This window comes from Homo sapiens, chromosome 16 (assembly GCF_000001405.40).
Source record: "Homo sapiens chromosome 16, GRCh38.p14 Primary Assembly".
Lineage (NCBI taxonomy): Eukaryota > Metazoa > Chordata > Mammalia > Primates > Hominidae > Homo > Homo sapiens.
This window is the reverse complement of record NC_000016.10, coordinates 58227677-58251970: the sequence shown is the minus strand read 5'-3', so window position 1 is coordinate 58251970 and position 24294 is coordinate 58227677. Positions and strand designations below refer to the sequence as shown.

General features: G+C 43.5%; 1 protein-coding gene and 1 long non-coding RNA gene across 3 annotated transcripts in view, besides 3 other annotated features; one reads left to right on the top strand and one right to left on the bottom strand.

The window, feature by feature from the left end:
- CFAP263 (cilia and flagella associated protein 263) overlaps window positions 1-2035 on the bottom strand; it is a 33901-nt gene extending 31866 nt beyond the window's left edge. For both annotated transcript variants that reach the window (NM_014157.4, NM_001142302.2), the window contains exon 1: window positions 1856-2035. In NM_014157.4, coding sequence (NP_054876.2) covers window positions 1856-1956 — 101 coding nt within the window. In that variant the 5' untranslated portion in view covers window positions 1957-2035. The remainder of the gene's footprint in view (window positions 1-1855) is intronic.
- Window positions 1725-2204: a silencer, noted in NCBI's record as "silent region_7548". NCBI's record gives its function as "represses an Ori minimal core promoter by ATAC-STARR-seq in GM12878 lymphoblastoid cells {active_cell/tissue: GM12878}" and the evidence as "EXISTENCE:reporter gene assay evidence [ECO:0000049][PMID:35858748]".
- Window positions 2112-13398, top strand: LOC105371293 (uncharacterized). The gene is made up of 4 exons (XR_933630.2): window positions 2112-2304; window positions 2567-2878; window positions 9062-9201; window positions 13360-13398. It is a non-coding gene; the product is annotated as an uncharacterized LOC105371293 (long non-coding RNA).
- Window positions 5801-5860: an enhancer, noted in NCBI's record as "active region_10924". NCBI's record gives its function as "activates an Ori minimal core promoter by ATAC-STARR-seq in GM12878 lymphoblastoid cells {active_cell/tissue: GM12878}" and the evidence as "EXISTENCE:reporter gene assay evidence [ECO:0000049][PMID:35858748]".
- Window positions 8404-8463: an enhancer, noted in NCBI's record as "active region_10923". NCBI's record gives its function as "activates an Ori minimal core promoter by ATAC-STARR-seq in GM12878 lymphoblastoid cells {active_cell/tissue: GM12878}" and the evidence as "EXISTENCE:reporter gene assay evidence [ECO:0000049][PMID:35858748]".
- Window positions 13399-24294: the final 10896 nt, after the last annotated feature.

Genomic DNA, 24294 nt, shown 5'->3' with positions numbered 1-24294 from the left:
AGTTTATCATAAACTCTGGAAAACTTTGAACAGAGGAAGAGATAACATACCTAGTTTATCCTGTATATGCCAAGGTTATAACCTTTTTAACTTCTTAACTTCTCATACGTGTGTATGTGTGTGTGTGTTACACACACATATGTATGTATATGTATATGAGAGAGAGAACAGCTTTGATGTTTTCATGTGTTATTAATCTATTAGGTTGGTACAAAAGTAATTGCAGTTTTTGCTATTACTTTTAATAATTCCTGTTTGGCTGAATTTTAAGACTAGTGGGGCCAGGTGTGGTGGCTCACACCTGTAATCCCAGCACTTTGGGAAGCCGAGGCAGGTGGATCACCTGAGGTCAGGAGTTCGAGACCAGCCTGATCAACATTGTGAAACCCCATCTCTACTAAAAGTACAAGAATTAGCTGGGTGTGGTGGCAGGTGCCTGTAATCCCAGCTATTCAGGGGTCTGAGGCAGGAGAATCACTTGAACCTGGGAAGCAGAGGTTGCAGTGAGCCGAGATCATGCCATTGTACTTCAGCCTGGGCGACAGAGCGAGTGAGATTCCGTATCAAAAACAAAACAAAACAAAACAAACTAGTGGAAAAAGCTGAATGGAAAACACAATCTATCAAAGTAGCTTGCTTTTTCAGCATAGAGCATGCTCCAGGTGTATGTAGTCTGTGGAGTCACACCTGAGTTTGAATCCCAGCACTACCACTGACTGTGTGAACTTAGGGAAGTGACTTCACCTCTGCGTCTTTGTTTCCTTACCCACTTCCTAGGGTTGCAGTGTCATCATATAAGATCATATATGTAAATGCATGGTACATAGAAACACTCAAAAATGAGAGCTGTTAGTAATAATACCTCAGTTCTGACCTAAAGTATTTGTAGATGTATAGAAGTAACATCTATTCAGCTGCTAGAGCTAGGATATTCTGTGCAAGACCAGTAAGTTGTACAACTAATCTTAACTACATCATGGAATCTTTATATCCAATTTACTTGCTATAGTAGAATATATAAAGCAGACTGCAAAATAAAATAAAACAAAATAAACGCAGACTATCGGGCCATTCTTTACTGTCCATCTCCATGCTTATATCCAGGTTCAGGCACACATTGCCTCATACTAAAACCATCTCAATAGCTTGCTTTCTATTCTGCTGCCGTGTTAGTTTTATCATATAATTTTTTTTTTTTTTTTTTTTGAGACTTAGTCCCTCTCTGTTGCCCAGGCTGGGGTGCAGTGGCACAATCTCGGCTCACTGCAACCTCCGCCTCCCAAGTTCAAGTGATTCTCCTGCCTCAGCCTCCAGAGTAGATGGGATTACAGGCACGCGCCACCACGCCTGGCTAATTTTTGTATCTTTAGTAGATACGGGGTTTCACCATGTTGGCCAGGCTGGTCTCGAACTCCTGACCTCAAGCGATCCGTCCGCCTCGGCCTCCTAAAGTGCTGAGATTACAGGCGTGAGCCACCGCGCCCAGCCTTATCATAGAATCTTAGCATCAGAAAAGGGCTTAGAAGTCACCTGGTCCAAATTGCTGCTGTAGAATTGTGGATCGGCTAAGCACACCGTCTGGCATGAGAGAGACTCCTCCGGCTGAAACCCTCACTTCCCCAATTACCCTCTGGGCTTCTCACCACCGGCCCCATCCCCTCGCCCTACCACCCCGTTCTAGCTCCACCAACAGCTTGTTGGCTCAGTGGTGGTGGAGTAAGGAGTAAAGAGGAAAAGTCTCCCCAGTGCTCAGTGAGGGCTTGGATCTTCTCCATGCTGGTCCCCAAGTCCGAGGCCGCCCGGAGAGGAGGGCCTAGGAGGAAGAGGGGCGGCCCCCAGGCGCGGGCGGCGGTACCTGAGCTCCTCCACCAGCCCGCACAGCTGGATAACAGGCAGCTCCAGCTCCGACCCTTCATGGGAGTCGGAGAGGACGCTCTCGGACTCATCATCAGTCATCACTCTGCCGAAGCGGCCCCTGCCAATGCCGTGTGCCCAGGAGCTCCGGGTGCCGGCGGCCACGCGTCACTCCGGCTGCGACGCGGTGGCGCGTTGCCCGGGCGACCGGACGCGAGGAAAGGGGTGGGGCTTCCGGTGGCCCCTCCCCGCGCTGCCCCGCCTGTCTCCGTGCGGACCCAGCCAGGTTGCTGGCTTTGAGCGCACACCTAAGCGCGTTCAGTTTCACTTCTTTAACAATAACTCTTAAATTGATAGTAATAATAGCAGCTGCTGTTTCTCAGCCCTTACTGTGTCCTTGGCAGCGTGTTAAGCATAGTTTATGAAAACCTTCGCCACAACCTTGTAATGGTATCTATCAATCTCTCCATTCTCCCAATAAGGAAACTGGGGCCTAGAAAATTAACACGATTTATCATAGTGTCCTTCTTCCCCTGTCCCACTGGGAGGCCCCTGCTCTGTTCACCACCTGGTGCTTCCTACATGCTAACAGCAGCTCCTCTCAGATATTAACATCCTGCATTTCTGGAAGGAAAAAAACGTGGCTGATAAAAATGGGTATACATTCAAGAGACATCCCTAAATAGTTACTGAATATCTACTGTGTCCTTAGTATCCTAGGGGGAATGTCTGGAAAAGACCATTCTGATCTTCAAGGAGCTTCCAATTAAATGAGTGAAACAGCCTCTAAACAAGCCGCTGGAACCTGGGGTGATGACAGCAACATCATGCGTCACACTGTGCATCGTAGTCATCTCCTTAAATCCTCAAAACAATCTGGTACAGTTGGTATTATTGCCGTCATCTTACAGATCAGAAAACCAAGGAATGGAGTAGCTTAGGTTCCATTCCACTCAAGAATGGAATCAAGCTCCGGTGGAACCCAAAGTCCATGCTGTTAACTTCTACGCTGATGTGGGACATGGTAAGGATCAGGGAGGCAACACAGGAGCTCTCTCTCTGCTCCCCATGGGGATGAAAGAGGACAGAGGGCAGGACGGGGAGACTTCTCCTAGGGAGGGTGAACTCTGGATGTGCTTAGAAAGCAAGCTGTGATGAAGTGCTTGGGGAGCGGGTCAGCCCCCTTCCCCTGCAAGGGGCATGCATTAGCATTGACAGGCACTCCCTGGATCTGAGGGAGGGTTTTTGTTTTGCTGCTCAGGGTGCACAAGGTTGGGGCCAGAATAGAATCACTGGAGATGACAGCAGAGAGCTGGAGCCCTACCACCTTCTCTCTGGTGGTAGGCCTCTTTAGGTTCTAGGGACAATGCAGACCACATTTAGCAATACTTAATATGTCCATATACAAGGTGACACAAATGGATGCTATCCCCAGGTGACATAAATAGATGCCAGCTCCAAGTGAACCCAGAGCAAGAATGGGCTCTGTAGCAATTCGAGGCTATGATGCAAACAGCCCTGCCAACTGGGCTGTGTGATACAACAGACTCTATGGCATTGGGGGTGTCAGTGGTGAAAAAAGATGCAGCAGGAATCTTAAAGCAAGACCCAGCAGGAGAATCACAATAAAGGACCCAGGATTCTGAAACAAGACCATACAATCCACAGCAGAGAATTACGTGTCTTTTGAGAAATAACTCCTGGCCTGTTACTATACCCTGGTAGAGACAGAACGCTGGATATATGGGGTACCAAGTGACCATGCATCCAGTCCTGCCCTCTACCAGCTGAGTTATTAAGCAGGACAGGCCCAGCCTCAGTCCATTGCAAATGGAAATGGTTAATCCAGCATTGGGCTCCAGCAGGACCAGAAAGCATGAGTAAGCTGCATGAGCAGGTAGCCCAGACCAACATGGCACCCACCACATTTGCACCAGGATCCCTCCCCCAGCTCAAATTTATCACTATATTTGCAGGGGCTTGGGGAGTTCATGACCACCTGGAAGAGAAGGCAAAGGCTTGAGCTCAGTTTACAGATGGGCTGGCTTGGAAGCCAAAAATGGACAGTGGCTGCATTACAACCACTTCACGAAAGGTAGTGAAAGACAGTAGAGAGGGAAAGCTTCCCAACTGGCAGAGTTGTGAGTGGTGGTGTGGCTGGTCATCTATTTTGTGTGGAGAGAGAAATGGCCCCAGGGGACACATCTAATTGGAAACTCTGTTCTTTTTTTTTTTTGGAAGGGAGAGTTTATTTTTACTTTTTTGAGACAGGATCACACTCTGCTGCCCAGGCTGGAGTGCGGTGCAGTGGCACGATCATAGATCAATGCAGCCTTGAATTCCTGGGCTCAATCAATCTTCCTACCTCACCTTCCAGAGTTGCTGGGACTACAGATGCATGCCACCATGCCTGGCTAATTTTTTTTTTTCTTTCTCTCTCTGTTTTTTGTTTTGTTTTGTTTTTTGTTTTTTGTTTTTCTGTAGAAATGGGGGTCTCGCTATGTTGCCCATGTTAGTCTGGAACTCTACCCTTCAGCGCTCCTCCTGCCTTAGCCTCTCAAAGTGTTGGGATCACAGGCATTAGCCACTGTACCTGGCCTAATTGGCATCATGGACTCAAAGACTCCCGATCAGGCTGGCTGGAACTTTGTTAGCGCCGTGCTTTGATCTGGGATGCCTGCTCCCTGGCCCTCACTCCGTCCTCTCCCAGATGTCATCACAGTGGGAGGCTGTCCTTGTCTACTCCAGCTTCCTCTCCTTTGTCCATCACAGACGATTTCCCCAAGAAAGAGATCTCTTCATGTCTAATTTTATCTTGGTTTGGAGGACTCAAACCAACACAAAGAATAAATTTCAATCTTAAAGATATTATTCTAATTTGGTAACATATTACATGTATGAACTAAAGTTTGCATTTGCCAAACAAAAATATTGTTTGGATCACCTTGCTGGTCAAGCTGCTTTACATGTTTTAAAAATTGTGGTTAAAAAATACATAACATGGCCGGGCGCAGTGGCTCACACCTCTAAATCCTAGCACGTTGGGAGGCTGAGGCAGGTGAAAAGAAAAAGAAAAAAATAATAACATAAAATTTACCATCTTTTTTTTTTAGATGGATTCTCACTCTTGTCGCCCAGGCTGGAGGGCAATGGTGTGATCTCAGCTCACTGCAACCTCCACCTCCTGGGTTCAAGCGATTCTCCTGCCCGAGCCTCCCGAGTAGTTGGGATTACAGGCACCTGCCACCATGCCTGAGTAATTTTTTGTATTTTTAGTAGAGACGGGGTTTCACCATGTTGGTCAGGCTGTTCTCAAACTCTTGACCTCGTGATCCACCCGCCTTGGCCTCCCAAAGTGCTGGGATTAGAGGTGTGAGCCACCGCACCCGGCCTGTAAAATTTACCATCTTAACCACTTCTTTTTTTTTTTTTTGAGATGGAGTCTCGCTCTGTCGCCCCGACTGGAGTGCAGTGGCGCGATCTCGGCTCACTGCAAGCTCCCCTTTCCGGGTTCATGCCATTCTCCTTCCTCAGCCTCCCGAGTAGCTGGGACTACAGGCACTCGCCACCACGCCCAGCTAATTTTTTGTATTTTTAGTAGAGATGGGGTTTCACCGTGTTAGCCAGGATGGTCCTGATCTCCTGACCTCGTGATCCACCCGCCTCGGCCTCCCAAAGTGCTGTGATTACAGGCGTGAGCCACAGCGCCCAGCCCATCTTAACCACTTCTAAGTGTACAATACAGTAGTGTTAAGTATGATCACATGGTTGTGCAACCAATCCCCAGAACTTTTTTATCTTGCAAAATGGAAACTCTATATTCATTATAAAACTCTATACCTGCTTCCCCCTCCCTCCAGTCCCTGGCAACCACAGTTCTACTTTCTGTCTCTATGAATTTGACTACTCTAGGTACCTTACATTAGCAGGGTCATATACTATCGTCTTTTTGTGACTGGCTTATTTCACTTAGCATGTCTTTAAGGTTCATTTGTATGGCAGCATGTGTCAGAATTTCCCTTCTTTTTAAGGCTTAATAATATTCTGTTGTATAGATACACCACTTTTGTTTATCCATTCATCCATTGATGGACATCACTGCCTTAATTTTTTATTTATCTATTTATTTATTTATTTATTTATTTATTTATTTTGTGAGATGGAGTCTCACTCTGTTGCCCAGGCTGGAATATAATGGTGCCATCTAGGCTCACTGCAACCTCTGCCTCCCTGGTTCAAGCGATTCTCCTGCCTCAGCCTCCTGAGTAGCTGAGATTACAGGCACATGCCACCACACCCAGCTAATTTTTGTATTTTTAGTAGAGACGGGGTTTCACCATGTTGATCAGGCTGATCTCGAACTCCTGACCTCGTGATCTGCCTGCCTTGGCCTACCAAACTGCTAGGATTGCAGGTGTGAGCCACCGCGCCCGGCCACTGCCTTAGCTTTTAAACACAAATTAAAATTCCAAAAAAGTCACACGGAATAACAAAACTGAAGTAACTCAAGTTCCATTTCTTTGTCTTTGCAATCACTGCACTATCATCACTTATTTTGAACCATTGTTCAAATGCAAGAATATATTATACCACAGGAGCTGGAGATGAGAACTTTACCCAAAACAAGCCCAAACTTTTCCAAACCTATAGAAACTTATTCACAAAATAAATGAGTGTAACTGAGTCTGTGAGTTTCAGGGGATGATTGTATAGCAAGGAGTTCTCTGAATCGAAATATGCCAATTTGAAGCCAAAATGTGTATCATAAAAGCTCAACATTAACTGTAGCAGTTATTTAGGACTTAGACCCACACATGATTTTTAGGGGCAGGAGAATTTTGTTGCTGTCATTGTTTAGAATTGCCAGCACCCAGTAACAATTTTTAAAAGACCAACTTTTGGTTGATTTTATTATTGTTTTAAAGGTCTTTACGGACTTTGCAATTCTAAATTATTTCCTACACCGTAGGTAGAACCTCCCACTGCCCTGCTCTTGGTACACCATTGAGAAGTGACAATTCCTTTGGCGACAGCTGTCCTAGTACTGTGGACTTTCTCTGTAAGGAAAGGCATAGGAGGGGTTACTACAGGAGGGGTTTCACATACCAAATGAGGGGTCTCCAGACTGTCACCAGATGAGCTTATTGAGGCTCTGGAGTTTGGGGGCAAGGGGCTGACATCTGCCTCATGCCCCAAGAAGTTAAAAGTAGAGGCTGGAGGGATATGTACATCTAAGTGGGAGGCAGGGGCAAGGGCTCCCAGGGAGCAGACTGCTCTGACACCAAGATGGGGCAAGATAAAGGATTTTCACAAGTCAGATGTCTCCACAGAAAGAGGCTGGAGGCATATCATAAAATGCAGAAGATCAAGAGGAATCTTAAGAAAAAACACTGTGGGATCAGGGAATCAGTGGGATTCATCAGTGGGAGAATCATTAGGGAACCCACAGTAGGCCTTGGGAGTGAGAAGCTTTGGGGCACAAGCTGGTCACAAGAGCATAAGTCCGAAATCACTGCTGTCATGTGAGACCTCCTCTGCCTCTTAACGTCTCCCCTTGTGCTCTCGGGCTCTACCCTGGAAAATCCAGAGGCAACAGAGTGGAGAAGAGGAGGGGAGAAAAGCAAGATGGGAAAAGGAGACTGAGGCTGATCTGAGCTGGTATCTCATCCAGTTATTAATCCTGAAAACCTCCATATCCCAGGGATAGCTCCAGAGACGTGGATCTGAAAAAGGAAATAAACAGACCCTGGCTCAATCCTCAATCAGTAGAGTCTGTCACAGCTGAGCAACATATATCGCTTTAATCGATGTTAAGGAAGAATTGAGTTAGTAAGGAAGAGGGATATTTCAAATATTGGCAAACAAAAAAATAATAGTAATAACAGCAAACATTCGAGTGCTTTGTCCCCTAACCCTGTAAAATAAGTACTATTGTAACCAAGTATCCCAGCCTCAAACTGCGTTTTAAAACATTTTTCCCTTCTTGCTTCCAGCCTTGAAACATACTTTGAAACTTTTTGTTTTGCCTTTTCCCACCAGCCACTTCTATGAACAGTACTCGCTTATCTAATTATGTGCTTGCTTAGAAATTCCAGGGATCGATTTTGAAACAAGCCAGGCAGAGAGACCCAGCTGTGGAACCCTCTGATTAGGGGGAGTTAGGAGCAGTTAGCCCACCACTACCGCAGTCAGCATGATGCAAACCGGTCCTCCAGACAGGCGATGACTCAAGATAACAAGACCTCCTGCTGCACCACTCCCGCGTTTCTCTCACCTTTTTCCTTCTTAAACCCCTTCACTCAGCCCAAAAAGTTAGAATGGTCTTTCAGAGGCATGGGCCTGTCCATTCCCCAACTGCTAGCATTTGAATAAAGTTGCTTTCCTTTCACCACAACTTGCTTCTTGTGTTTTTGGCCTCCAAGCGGTGAGCAGCTGGACTTGGCCAGTTACACTATTACTCACCTCATTTGTATAGGTGAGGAAGTGAAAGCCAGAGAGGCGATGTGAATTACTCAGTCAAACAGCAGGTGACATGCAGAGCTAGAGCCGAAAGCTTGTACCTTTAATCATTACTCATTCCTTTCCATCCCAGTCCTTCTCCTATCCATCCAAAGCCATTCCCACTAAGGTGTTGGAAGAGTTCATTGAGATTACATTTAACCAGGTACCAGGCATGGAGCAAGCTCTGGGTTATTATTTTCCTAGATTAAAGGCCTGACTATGCAAATGTGCATCTCTAAAATGTAAGAAGCTTAGTACATTTTCCTTTGTACTGCCTTCTCTTGATATTTTCCTTTGTAGTGTCTTTCCTTGATCCTGCTCGTCTTCAGAAGTGAGGAGGAGACAGAAAAAATATTTGAAGAAATAATGGCTGAATTTTTCCACATTTGATGAAAATTACAAACCTATAGATCTAAGAAGTTCAACCAACCTCATATAACAATAAACATGAGGAAAATGACACCAAAGATACCATAACTAAATTGCTTACAACTAGGGATAAACAGAAAACCTTAGAAGCAGCCAGGAAAAAAAAAAAAGACACAGTATATACAAAGAATCAAGGATTAAAATGATAGATTTCTTGTAGGTAACAATTCAAGCTGGTAGAGTTCTGAAAGAAAAAAAAAAACACCTGTCAAACTAGAATACTTTACACAGCAAAAATATCTTTTAAAAATAAAGACAAAATAAATATTTTTTTCAGATATTCAAAAGCTTGAAAGAATTTGTTGCCAGAAGAGCTTCACTATACAAGATATGTTAAAGGATGTCCTTCAGGCAGAAAGAAGATGATACCAGATGGAAATCTGGATCAACACAAAGAAATGAAGAGCACTAGAAATGGTAACTAAGTGGATAAGTAAATATATTTCTCTCATTATTTAATTTTCTTTGAAAGATAAATAACTTTATATAACAAAAATTATGTATTGTAGAGTTTACAACATTTACATTGTAGCTAAGCACGGTGGCTCATGCCTGTAATCCCAGCACTTTGGGAGGCAGAGGCCAGTGGATCACTTGAGGTCAGGAGTTTGAGATCAGCCTGACCAACATGGTGAAACCTTGTCTCTACTAAAAAAAATATGAAATTAGCCGGGCGTGGTGGCACATACCTGTAATCTCAGCTACTTGGGAGTCTGAGGCAGGAGAATTGCTTGAACCCAGGAGGCAGAGGTTGCAGTGAGCCCAGATCGGGCCATTGCATTCCAGCCAGGGTGACAAGAGCAAAAAACTCCATCTCAAAAGAAAGAAAGAAAGAAAAAAAAAACATTTACATTGTAGAGTTTATAAGTGAAATGTATGACAATGATAGTAGAGGAGAAATGGGAGTGTGATGGTATAAAGTTCTTATACTATACATAAAGTGGTATAATAACACTTGAAGATAGACTGTACTAAGTTAAAGAAATGTACCATAAACCCCAAAGCAATGACAAAAATGACACAGCAAAGACATAAAACTAAAAGAGTAGCTTTAACTCTAGACTGAATGTCTAGACAATGTGGTAGACAGAACAATGGCCCGCAAAGATATCCAGGTTCTAATCATTGGAACCTATGAATATTACCTTGTAAAGGGGGAAAAGGTCTTAACAATTTTAGCGATTAAGTTAAAGGTCTTAAAATGGAGTGGTTATCCTGGATTATGTAAGTGGGCCCTAAAAGCAATCACAAGTGTCCTTACAAGAGGGAGGCAGAAGGAGATTCTACTACAGAAGAGAGAAAGCAATGTGACAACCTCAGCAGAGAGAGACTTGAAGATGCTATGCTGTGGACTTTGAAGATGGAGGAGAGGGCCTAGGAGCCAAGGAATGCAAGGAATGAAGCTCTAAAAACTGGAGAATTCTCCCCTTAAGCCTCTAGAGAAAATACAGCCCTGCTGAGTGAGACCCATTTTGGACTTCTGGCCTCTGGAACTATAAGAGAATAAATTTGTGTTGTTTTAAGCCACAAAGTTTGTGGCAATATATCACAATAGCCTATGAAACTAATACAGCTAAGTCAACAAAGGAGATAAAGTGGAATTATAAAATATTCGAATGGATCCAAAAGAAGGCAGAAAAAGGGAAATATAAACAAAAAGAACAAATAGAAGCAAGGCAATAAAGAAAAAATAGATAAGTTGGACTTATTAAAAACTTTTGTGCTTCATAGAACACCATCAAGAAAGTGAAAAGACAATCCACAGAATGAGAGAAAAATTGCAAATCATATATATGATGAGAGATTTATATCCAGGATACATAAAGAACTATTATTACAACTCAATAATTAAAAGATAAGCAAATAGGCCAGGCTCAGTGGCTCATGCCGGTAATCCCAGCACTTTGGGAGGCTGAGGCGGGCAGATCACTTGAGGTCAGGAGTTCAAAACCAGCCTAGCCAACATGGTGAAACCCTGTCTCTACTAAAAACACAAAATTTAGCCAGGTGTGGTGGCGGACATCACTTGAACCCGGGAGGCGGAAGTTGCAGTGAGCCGAGATCACGCCATTGCATTCCAGCCTGGCAACAAGAGCGAAACTCCGTCTCAAAAAAGTAATAAATAAATAAGCAAATGATTTGAATGGACATTTATCCAAAAAAGATATACAAGTGATCAATAAGCACATGAAAAGATGCCCAACATCATTAGTCATCATGGAAGCATAATATATAATAGAACATATAATATATAATTAAAAAGACAGATAAAAACAAGTATCAGTAAGAATGTGGAGAAATTGGAACCCCCATAAACTGCTGGTGGGAATGGAAAATGGTGCAGCTCCTTCAGAAAACAAAGTTTGGTTGTTACTAAAAGGCTAAACATAGAGTTACCATGTGATCCACCAATTCTACTCCTAGTATATACTCAAAAGAAATTAAAACACATATCCATGCATGAACTTGTACATGAATGTGCACAGTGGTATTATTTAAACTAACCAAAAAGACACAAATGCCTATCAACTGATGAGCAGATGAACAAATGTTGTATCTATAAAATGTAATATTATTTGGCAATAAAAAACGAATGAAGTATGGATACATACAACAAGGACAAAGCATGAAAACATTACGATAAGTAAAAAGAAAGAAAATCACAAAGGACCACATATTGTATGATTTTATGTATATGAAATGTCAAAAATAAGCAGATACATGGAGACAAGAAATAGATTAGTGGTTGTTTATGGCCGGGATAGGGAAAATGAGGGATAAGTGATGAATAAGGCATGTGGAGTTTCTTCTGGGGTAAGAAAAACGTTCTACAATTGACTGGGGTGATAGATGCACAACTTTTGAATATAGTAACAGTCACTGAATTTACTCTTTAAGTGGGTGAATTGTTAAGTATGTGAATTATATATCAATAAAGCTGTTTTTAAAAAAGAATAAGTAGAAAATATCAAGATGGTAGATTAAAATCCAACCATATCAATAATTACACCAAAGGGAATTGGTCTAAACATTCTGATTAAAAGGCAAAGGTTATCTGATTGAATAAAAAAGCAAAACCTAAATACATGCTGCCTATAAAAAATACACTTTAAATATAAAGACACAAGTGGGTTAAAAGTAAAAGGGAAAAAGATGCAAACACTAGTCAAACAATAATACAAACACCAAAGAAAGGTGAAGTAATTATGTTAATATCAGACATAGTAGATTTCAGAGCAAAGGATATTACCTGTAATAAACAGGGTCAGTTTATAATAATAAAGGGATGAATTCATAAAGACATGATATTTATGCATCCAATAAGACAGCTTCAAAATCCATGAAGCAAAAACCAATAGAACTGCAAGAAGAAACAGACAGACGAATTCACAATTAAAGACTTCAAAGATATCAACACCAATCTCTCAAAAATTGATAGGCTAAATGGACATAAAAATAAGTAAGGAAATAGAAGATTTGAGCAGCTTTATTAACTGAAGTGTCCTAACGGACATTTCTGAAACACTCCACCCAACAACAGCAGAACTCACATTCTTTCCAAGTGCACACAGAACATTACTAAGAAGACCATATTCGTTAAACAATAAATTTCAATACATTTAAAAGTATTTGCCATACAAAGTTATGTTCTCTCACCACAATAGAATTAAATTAGAAATGAAACAGAAAGACATTTGGAAAAACCTCTAATATTTAGAAACAAGATAACACACTCTTAAATCACAAATAGGTTAAAAAAATCAATAAGGAAATTAGAAAGTACTTTAAATTGAATAAAAATTAAACACCATATATTAAAATCAATAGTATGCATCCAAAGCAGTATTTAGACACAAATTTAAAATACTAAAATGCCTGTACTGCAGAGAGAGAGAGAGAGAGAGAGAGAGAGAGAGACCACCTTCATGGATCACAGCGCTAAATATTAAGCTATCAGTTATCCTGTAATTAATCTGTAGAGTCAATGCAACTGTAATTAAAATCCCATCAGACTTTATTTTTGTGAATTGATAAGCTGATTCTAACAGCCACACGGAAATTCAAAGAACAAAGAAAAAACAACTTTAGAAGAAAGAACAAAGGAAGAGGAAGAACAAAGTTGAATGACTTACATTACCTGACTGTAAGACTTGTTATAATGCTACAGTAATTGAGACAGCATGCCATTGGTGACAAATCAACAATGGATCAATGGAATAAAATAGAGTCCAGAAACAAATCCACACATATATATGAGCCATAGAACGCTATACATCATCCAAAAAAAAAGGAAAGGAATGAACCATGGACGCAGGCAACAACATGCATAAATCTCAAAATAGTTTGAGTGAAAGAAGTCAGATTTTAGAAAGAGTACATGCTGTATGATTCTATTTGTATAAAATGCTAGAAAGTGTAAACTAATTTACAATGATGAAGAGCAGATTAATGGCTGCTTGGGATATGGAGGGGGCAGGGAAGTGGGAATATGGTGGAGGGGATCACACAGGGGCACAAGGAAGCTTTTGGGAGCGATTTCATGGGTATAAACATATATCAAAACTTATCATCCAGACGCGGTAGCTCACACCTGTAACCCCAGCACTTCGGGAGACCAAGGCAGGCAGATCACGAGGTCAAGAGATCTAGACCGTCCTCGCCAACATGGTGAAGCCCTGTCTCTACTAAAAATACAAAACTTAGCTGGGCGTGGTGGCGTGCGCCTGTAGTCCCAGCTACTTGGGAGGCTAAGGCAGGAGAATCACTTGAACCAGGGAGGCAAAGGTTGCAGTAAGCCAAGATCATAACGCTGCACTCCAGCCTGGTGACAGAGTGAGACTCCAGCTGAAAAAAAAAAAAAAGAAAAAAAAAAAAAACTTTCTCAAGTTGTACACTGTACAATATTTATATACTTGCAGTTTGTTTTATTTCAATTACACCTCAATAAAGCTGTAAAGCAAACAAATAAACATGCTGTCTTCTCTACTCCAGCCTTGTCTACATCTAATCACCTACTCAACATCTGCACTTGCATGTGTAATGGACACGTAAAACTTAACATACCTCCACTAAACTCATGACTTTCCCCCTCCCTCCAAACCCATTCTTCCCCATCTCAGTATCTGACAACTTCATCCCTCCAGGACAACTTCATTACTCCTTCCAACAAACCTGGGAGTAATCCTTGACTAACTCTTAACTCTCCTCCTTCTCTCACCTCCACATCTGATCTGTAAGCAGATCCCACTGGCCCAACCTTCAGAGCAAAGCTAGAACTTGACCTCTTCTCATTACTACAACCACCCCAGTCCAAGCCACCATCATCTTTTGTCTACATTATTGCAGTTATCTCCTCACTCTGCAGTTTGTTGTGAGTCAATAAAACTGCAAGATGAGGCCGGGCGCAATGGCTCATGCCTGTAATCCAAGCACTTTGGGAGGCCGAGGTGGGCAGATCACCTGAGGTCAGGAGTTCGAGACCAGCCTGACCAACATGGTGAAACCCCATCTCTACTAAAAATACAAAAATTAGCCAGGTATGGTGTCGCGTTTCTGTAATCCCAGGTACTTGGGAGGCTGAAGCAGGAGAATTGCTTGAACCGGGGAGGCAGAGGTTGCAGTGACCCAAGATCACGCCACTGCACTCCAGCCTGGGCAACAGAGTGATCCTGTCTCAAAAAAAAAAAAAAAAAAAAAAGGCAAAAAAAACACCTGAAAGAAGAAAAAGAGGAGGGGAAGGGGGAGGAGAAGAAAAGGAAGAGAAAGAAGAGGGGAAGGGAAGGAAGAGAAAGAAAGGAAGAAGGAAGGAAGGTAGGAAAGAAGGAAGGAAGGAAAGGAGGGAGGGAGGGAGGGAAATGCTGCTAAATCCCAAATTCTTATCCCCTTTTGTTCTCACCTCCACCTCCTGTAGTGCATTCACCACACAACAGCCAGAGGGATCCTGTTAAACATAAGTTAGATTATGCCTCTTCCTAACAGAGCCTTCCAATGACTTCTCAACTCATTCAGAGTAAAACCCAAAGTGCTTTACTATGGCTGACCTTGTCTATTACCCAGCTATTTCCTCTCTGACCTCGTCTCCCCTCCTACCCCGACCCTTTCACTTAGTCCTTTCTAGCCACACTGGTCTCCTGGCTGTTTCTCAATCGTGACAGGCATCCTCCTGCCTCCCAGCCTTCATCCCGGTAGTTCCTCTGCCTGGACACTCTTCCCCCAGACAAACACATGGCTCATCCCTTCACCTCCTTCAGATTCAACTATCTTCCAAGGAGGTCTCCTCCTCCTTTCTGCCCCCTTCTCGGTCCTGGCAACTTAGCAAGCAAAGTTGTTTGATTTTTAAAGCAAGCACCAAGAATACAAAGTCAGTATGTTTCCAGGCGTTCTGTTCCTAGCAGAAGAGTTCATACAAATATGGTTATCACCACATCAGCACTTCGCCTGTGCTGCTGATTTTCCCTTTACCCCTTCAAATCACCACCCCACCCATCCGTGTGCTAGTGATGCTCCCTCCCTCAACCCCCTTCCCCATAATCCTGTCCCTCTCTGCCCTAAGCCCTGGGAGGCTGGTTCCTGTGGACTCCATTTCCCAGGCTCCTTTGCGGCTGACTTCGGGTTGGTTTCAGCCAATAAGAGGCATCCAAGGAGACAGGAGGGCGGGAAGGGAGAGCGCCCTGTGTATTTCTTCTCCGCTTTCCCACCCCAGTTTTGGCGGCGCACAGCCTCTCCTTGATCATACCTCGTGTCTGGCTGACCCTCACGCACAATGCCAGCCCTGCTCGACTCTGCTTTTATCATCCCTCCCCTTCCCCGTCTCACCTAGAATTACCTGGAATGCTGCTGGTCCCTGGGTGCCACAACCATCTTCGCAGGTTCCCTTATTCACAGTCCCATGTGAATGTAAACAGTCCCATCAGTAAGGTCTCTTCAGCTGAACGGAGTAGGGTTCTGTTTCCTACAGGACCCCGACTAATAAATACACCTGGACTCCACCTACCTGAGGATTTCACGTCAGCTCCAAAAACTACCTGTCTGCCCACTAGACAGAGGTTCACTGTGCAAATATCCCTCGAAAAGATGACTATTGAATATAAAGTCACTCTAAGCTGTAGGGTATCTGCTTCTTTTCTTGGAGCCAGGCTTTGTAAGGGGAGGTGGGTAGTAACAGGTGTCTCAAAGAAGTGGGAAAGGGGATGCCTTGGAGGTAGGGGAGTCAGGAGCAGATCGTGTTTAAACGGCCCAGGGTTCCAGCCCTGGCTTGGCTACTGGTAATTACTTTGGTAATAACTTAATGTTTTTGTGCCTTAGTGTCCACCTCTGTAAAGTGGGGATGACATTTTAAGCGTTTACCCTATGCATGTTACAAGGATATCATCAGGCTAATATACCATCAAATGGGATAAAGTAAGAAGAAGCAGCAGTTTGGAAAGTATGACACCAAGATGGGCACCCCAGCACCTCCTCCTCTGAGAGGAGCCACTGCCCCAGTTTGGCAGCAGTCTATAGTAGATTACTACCTGAGAAACTGAGTCAGCTTGCAGGCTTTAAATGATAATAATGATAATTTAATTGTCATTGTTATTTCTTAATATATTTATTACCAATTAGGTAATATTATTATTGCTTAATAAAAAACACTTATAACAAGTATTGTTTCAGGTACTATATTTCTCGAGTGCTAGCTGTGTGCTAAGCACCTTCTGCACATTATCTCATTTCATCAGCATAATGATTCTGCGAGATACAGGTACCTGCATTAGCCTCGTTTTACTCATACACAGACTGAGGTTCAGAGAAGTTAAGCAACTTGTCCAAGGTCACGTAGCCATTCGGGGTGGGGCCGAAATTCAAATCCAGGCTTATCCCACATTGCTCTGTCTTTTCCACAAATCCACTCTGTTAGAGCAGGGGTTCTCAGCGAGTTGGCAAGAAAGATTTGGCCCCCTCTCCCCAGGCGACATTTGGCAATGTCTGAGGCATTTTTGTTTGTCCTAACTGAGGGGGTGAGATTGGCATTTCGTGGGTGGAGCCAGAGATGCTGTGGGTATTAGTTTACTAGGGTTGCTGTAACAAATTACCATAAGAACAACAGAAATGTATCATCTCACAGTTCCGGAGGCCAGAAGTCTGGAGGCAAGGTGTCTGCACAGCCACTCTCCCTCTGAAGGCTCTAGGAGGAATCTTTTCTTGCCTCTTCCCAGCTTCTGGTGGCTCCTGGCAATCTTGTCATTCCTTAGATTGTAGCTACATCACTCCAATCTCTGCCTCCATCTTTGCATGGACTTCTTCCCTGTGGCTTTGTGTGTCCCCTCCTCTTCTTATAAGGACACCAGTTGTAAGATTTATTTTTCTTTAATTGACAAATAATAATTGTACATCATTAGATTTACAGCCAACCCTAAACCCAGAATTCTTTCATCTTGAGATCCTTAGCTAATTACATCTGCTAAGACCCTTATTCCAGAGTCACAGTTATTATTTACTGAGTGCTAGCTGTATGCTCAACACTGTGCTAAGCAGTCTATGCATTATATCATTTCATTAGCCTGAGGATTCTGTGAAATTCAGGTACCTTCATTAACCCCCGTTTTACTCACAGGGAGGCTGAGGTTCCAAGAAATTAAGCAACTTGCTGAAGGTCACATAGCTATTCCCAGGGTGGGGCTGAAATCAGACCAGATGGGCATGAATTTTGGAAGAAAACTATTCAACCCGCTACACTGAACACCCTTCAACACACAAAACAGCTCCCACAGCAAAGAATTATCTGGCCCCAAATATCAGTAGTGCTGAGGTTGAGAAACCCTGCTTCAGAGAGGCATTTCTTCTCTGGCAAGCAATGAGAATTGCCTCTGCTTATCTTGACAGCTACAAACAGAAAGGGGCTCAGAGTGTGTGAGACCGCCCTCTCTGAGTGAGTCCAGAAGCCACCCTCTCCTGCCCACTCAGTCCCTCCACCTTTTTGGGCCCATTTCCTCTGATTTAGCCTCCAGTATCTTTATGGGGATGTTGTTCCTGCCTGCATTTTTGTGGGATTTTATGTTTTGAACAATAGGGTCTGATCCATTCTAAGTATTAAGCTTCAACCATAAGTAAGAAGTACCTGGCCTCTTCTTTCCCAAATGGGAAGCTGCTCAAAAATCAGATAAAGGGACCGGGTGCAGTGGCTCATGCCTGTAATTCCAGCACTTTGGGAAGCCAAGGTGGGAGAATCACTTGAGGTCAGAAGTTGGAGACCAGCCTGGGCAATAAAGTGAGACCTTGTCTCTACAAAAAAAAAAAAAAATTTTTTTAATCCACTGGCCACGATGGCACGCACCTCTAGTCCCGGCTACTTGAGAGACTGAGGCAGGAGGATCACTCAAGCCCAGGAATTTGAAGCTGCAGTGAGCTATGATCATGCTACTGCACTCTAGCCTGGGCAACAGAGCAAGACCATGTCTCTAAAAACAAACAAAAACAACACAATATCAGATAAAGGAACTCAGGCTCATGGGCAAGTTGTGAAAATTATCATCTGATGGCTGCCAGAGACCCTGTCTCTACCAAAAATAAAAATAAAAAAAAGACTCTTTCAGTCTTCCAACAAATATTTATTGAGCAACTGCTATGTGCTTGGTCCTGGACATGCAGCAGTGGGCAGCAAAGCTGATGGTGTCCCTGCTCACATGGAGCTTCCACTCTGATATAGACCATTACAATTTAGGGTGATAAATGCTGTAATGGAAGAAGTTCAAGGTGTACCAGATTTCAAGGCACCAAGGAAGGTTTCCTGGAGTAAGTAAGGTCTTAGCTGAGATGTGAAGACCGAGTCGAATTCAAATCCAGGTGAGCCAAACTCCACCACAACCTTAGTCCCCAAGCAAAGGCCAAGGGAAGAGTGGTATTTAGAAAGGGATGAGCTTGTGCAAAAGCCCAGAGAGAAAAGAGAGCGCATTTGAAGAATTGAAGGAAAGTCAGTCTATGCTTCACTATTTTATTTTATTATTTTATTTTATTTTATTTTTGAGACAGTGTCTCACTGTGTTGCCCAGGCTGGAGTGTAGTGGCGCAATCACAGCTCACTATATCCTCGAACTCCTGGGTTCAAGTGATCTGCCCATCTCAGCCTCCCAAGTAGCTGAGATTACAGATGCACACCACCATGCCTGGCTAATTTTTGTTTTGTTTTTTGTTTTGTTTTGTTTCGTAGAGACAGGGTCGTGCTATGTTGCCCAGGCTTATCTCAAAATCCTAGCCTCAGGTGATCCTCCAGTCTTGGCCTCCCAAAGTGCTGGGATTACAGGCGTGAGCCACCACGTCCAGCTGATTCACCCTTTTAGACAAAAAAAAAAAAAAAAAAAAGCTGAGATGGTGATTACTAATATCCACCTTTTGGTTTTTCTCTCCGTTATCTGGGGGCTGCCTTTGACCTTCCTTTCTACTGTGAGCTGTTTGGATATTTTCTTTTCTTTTCTTTTCTTTGAGACAGAGTCTTGCTCTGTTGCTCATGCTGGAGTGCAGTGGTGCGTGCGATCTTGGCTCACTGCAACCTCCACCTCCCAAGTTCAAGCAATTCTTGTGCCTCAGCCTCCCGAGTAGCTGGAATTGCAGGCGTGCACCACCACACCCAGCTAAATTTTGCATTTTTGTAGAGACAGGGTTTCACTATGTTGGCCAGGCTGGTCTTGAACTCCTGACCTCAAGTTATCCACCTGCCTCGGCCTCCCAAAGTGCTGGGATTACAGGCATAAGCCACCGAGCCCAGCTGGATGCTTTCTCTTGGTGCTCATGTTGAACTTGGTTCTCTTTTTCCTGAAGTTACAGGGACTCATGTCTAGGCCTGACCTAGGCCAGGACAAAGCCTTTGGACCTCATTTAGAGAGGGACATCAGGCATCTTCGGTGTCTAGAAATTACTTAGTCCCAGCGAGGTTGAGGCAGAGGTGCAAAGTCCCCAGAAAGCGTCAGAGCTGGGGCCTGTTCACTGACAAGGTAGTTCCTATTTTAAAAATCAGAATCAGAGACCAGGAGCCATAGTCATTAGCTGTGTCTCCCGTTTCCTCTGGATCTTAGAGGAACAAAGGGATGAGGAACCTGGCCTGGGGAGTTTGGAGGTGACCTGCATTCAAATCCTGCCCCACACACTTACTAGTTGTGTGATGTGAAGCAAGTCACCTCACCTCTCCAACCTCATTCCTCATAACCATGATGCTGTCCCCTCGGGGTTATGCCTGTGTGTTACAGATGGGTCATTGGACCATTCTCCTAAGGGTTCAGCACAGGGCTTGGCACCCAAAAAGAGCCCAGTCCTTTGGGTTCATTTCTTTCTCATCTCTGAACCCAGCCTCCTCCTTCATCAGGTTTCCAGGGAGGCTCACTAGAGAAAGCAGGAAGTAGGAAAAGAGAACAGTCCTTCCATTAGGGTATTCGTTTTTTATTAAAGAATTACAGGCCGGGCATGGTCGCTCATGCCTGTAATCCCAACACTTTGGGAGGCCTAAGGGGGCAGATCAGTTGAGGTCAGGAGTTCAAGACCAGCCTGGCCAACATGGTAAAACCCTGTCTCTACTAAAAATACAAAAATTAGCTGGGCATGGTGGTACGCACCTGTAGTCCAAGCTACTCAGGAGGCTGAGGCAGGAGAATCGCTTCAACCTAGGAGGCAGAGGTTGCAGTGAGCCGAGATCACACCACGGCACTCTAGCCTGGGTGATAGAGTGAGACTCAATCTCAAAAAAAAAAAAAAGAAAAGAAAAAGAAAAAGAAAAAAAGAATTACATACAAGAAGCTGCATGCAAATTATAAGTACAACTTGACATAATTTCAAAAACTGAGCGCACCGTGTAACCTGCACGTGGTTGAAGAAACAGAACATTGCCGGTGCCTCAGAAGCCCCTCAAATACTCCTTCACTGTCACCACCACCCCCAAGGGTGAACGCTACCCTGACTTCTGAAGCAGACATTAGTGTTGCCTGCCTTTCTATTTATGATACCTAGAATCATGCAGTGCATTCTCCTTTGTGACTGGCTTCGTTCATTCAACATCATGTTAATGAGAGTTATCCACTTTGATGAAGGTTAATTATAGATCGTTCACGCTTGTTGCTGTACAGTATTCCATTTTGTTTATCTGTTCCACTGTTGATGAGTATCTGGGGAGTTCCCAGTTTGGGGCTATTGCAGTAAGCACTGCTATGATCACTCCAGTGTGTGTGTGTGTATGTCTTTCAGTGAGCACACAGACACGTCTCTGCTAGGTATACACTTAGGAGTAGAATTGCTAGGTCATAAAATGTTCCACTTTAGTAGCTGCTGCCAAATAGTTGTCCAGGGTGATTATACCAGGCACTCACCTAAAAAAAAAAAAAAAATCAGTGACGGGAGGTACTGTGCCCTTTTTCCCCAACAGTCAATCATTTGTTCAACCCATTTATGGAACTCAAATCTGGGCCAGGCCCAGGCCAGGGTGGGTAATTGGAATGCTCAGGTGGAAAGGCCAGGGGCTGGTGCTGGCCTCATGTGCCCTGAGATCTATTCCTCACCCTTCTCCTCCCCTGTGCCCGTGAGTGTTGTGGTAGTGGGTGGGTGGGTGGATCAGGGGTCGAGGTTGGCGCCGAGCCCTTCAGGCTAGGTTTCCCAGGCCCCTGGGTCAGCTGGACGGTGCTGCCTAGAGCCCAGCAGGTAGGAGAATGGAAGAAGCTTACAGGCTGTAGCTGCGTCTCTTCCATGGGGTGCAGTAGCATCACCTGTCTCCTTGTTCCTGCAGCCAGGCGCAGGAGAGTGGGGGAGGGGAAGACAGTAGTGGCTTCCTACTGTCATGCCTCTTTGGTTTCCCCACTCTTCTATCACCTACAATCACCGCCAGTTTTAGATGCTTTTAGAATAGTTTCTCTCTTTCTGGTTAGATGCTCACTGATCCTGGCAGGGACCACCAGGGCCAGTGGGGAGATCTCCAGGCAAAAGGCCAAGTCTCATTCACTAAGACCATTCCACTGGTGGTGGCAGACCCAGGGGGATGATGGAGGGCCTAGATAAGCTCTAGATTGCCTGGGGAGTCACCAAAAGGATGGCTGCCAAATAAGTGCAGTAGCTCCTCTCAGACCAAGGAGCAATACGGGGAGGCCGACTTCTGTCCTGCTGGCCAAGGCTGCTCCCTCCAAGGCATCCCTCTGTTTGGTTCTGTGGACTGGAGATCCACGGGCCAGTCCTCAGTGTGAATTGCCTGGGATGGCTTCCTGGATAGACAGTAGCCCCAGGAGTGGAGAATGGCATCTTGGACCTCATGGTATTCCCAGTGCCTTATGCACAGTAGGTGATAATAATAACTCACATGTGAGCATTTACTATATGTAGGCACTGTTCTGAGCACTTAGCAGGTCTTAACTTATTAAGCATGTATTGTTGTGATCCCATTTTACAAATCAAAAAACTGGGGCACAGGGACTTAAAGTAACTGGTACCCAGTCAATATTGGTTGATGACAATAGCATCAATAATTAGTGTAGCAGAGTGCTTTAAAACACTGGCTTTGGAATTCCAAGGATAATGGTTCAAATCTGAGTTCTGTCCCTTGCTAGTGTGGAAACTTCTTTAGTTTCCTTCATTCTTGTAAAATAAAAATAATGATGCCCACCTGACCAGGTTCCTGGGAGGATTAAATAATGAATGAGCATCAGTCAAGTAGTATGTGTGTGCGTGTGTGTGTACATACATATATACATGCACACACATAACACAAAATTGTCCTTTACCACATGTACATTACACTTCAATTTTTTTCAGTTGTATACTTATTTGTTTATAATTAGTAATAACCCAAAAACAAGTCATAACCTTCAGCTTTAACAAATTAACAATTAGCTCAATTTATCTGATAAAATAATGTATATGATGAATTTGCCTATGATAATCTAGACCTTTGCCTCTAGTCATAAATTGCCCCTTTGGGGATCATATTAATAATCCCAGTGTATGAAATATATTTTTAACACTGCATTATTTTTAACTTTTTATGTTGAAATAGTTTCAGGTGCAAAATAGAATAAAGAATTGCCATACACCCTTTACCCAGATTCTCCAAATTCCCCAAATGTTAACATTTCACTACCTTCATTTTATCATTCTTTCTCTGCTTCTCTCTCTGTTTTTTTCTGAAACATTGAAGAGTAACTTACAAATCCAATGACTCTTTATTCCTAAATACTTTGGTGTTTATTTCCTAGAAATGAGGATATTTTCTTAAAAGATTATAAAAACCCAAAATATTAACATTGATATAATAGCATTATCTAATGAGATAACTTACTTAAATTTTGTCAGCTGGGCGCGGTGGCTCACGCCTGTAATCTCAACACTTTGGGAGGCCGAAGCAGGTGGATCACCTGAGGTCAGGAGTTTGAGACCAGCCTAGCCAACATGGTGAAACCATGTCTCTACTAAAAAAAAAAAAAAATAGCCGGATGTGGTGGCACATGCCTGTAATCCCACCTACTCATCTACTGGGGAGGCTGAGACAGGAGAATCGCTTGCACCTGGGAAGCGGAGGTTGCAGTGAGCTGAGATCGTGCCATTGCATTCCAGCCTGTGCAACGAGAGGACAAAACTCCATCTCAAAAAAAAAAAAAATTGTCAATTGTCCTACTAATATCCTTTAGAGTACAATAAATGAATGGATTTTTCTGTTCCAGGATTTTGTTTCGCGGTCATGTCTTTTTAGCATTCTTTGATCTGGAGCAGTTCATTTGTCTTTGTCTTGTGACCTTGACATTTTTGAAGAGTAAAGTCCAGTTATTTTTGAACAGTGCTTCTCAATTTGGGCTTGTCTGATGCTTCCTCGTGACCTGAGTCAGGTTGTGCATTGTGGGCAGGAATACCACCAAAGTGAAGCATCATTCTCAGTGCAGTGCATCAGGAGGCATTTGATATCTATGTGGTGATTTTCACTTTGATCACTTAGTTAGATGGTGCCTGCCAGATTTCTCTACTGTAAAATTAGTGTTTTTCCTTGTAATTTATAAATATCTTGTGGGAAGACACTTTGAGTCTATGTAAATATCCTGTTTCTCATTGTACTTTCACCCACCTGTTTCAGCATTCATTGGTGATGCTTGCCTAAATACCCTATGACAGCTGTCAAATGATGATTTTTCTAATTCCATCATTCTTTTACATTTCGTAGTCAGGATTCTACACTTATTTTTATCAGTATCGATAAAAAATTTTATGCTATAAGCTGTAATCTCTTACTACCACTATTCCATTTGATGCTCAAATTGTGCCAAATTGGGCCAAAGGGAGCCCCTTCAAGCTGGGTCCTGTGTCCTTTTGACATGTTCCCATCATTTTTTGTGTACTCACTTACTTTTGGCAAGCTAGATGTACATCTGTATTTCCCTCGTCCAAATCTGGAATCAGCCATTTCTCCAAACATTCCTGGTTCTTTTTGGTAGAGAATTTATACCTCAACTTTTAAAAAAGGAAGAAGCATGAGGAGGAGGAGGAGGAAGAGGAGGAGGAGGACTAGGAGGAGGA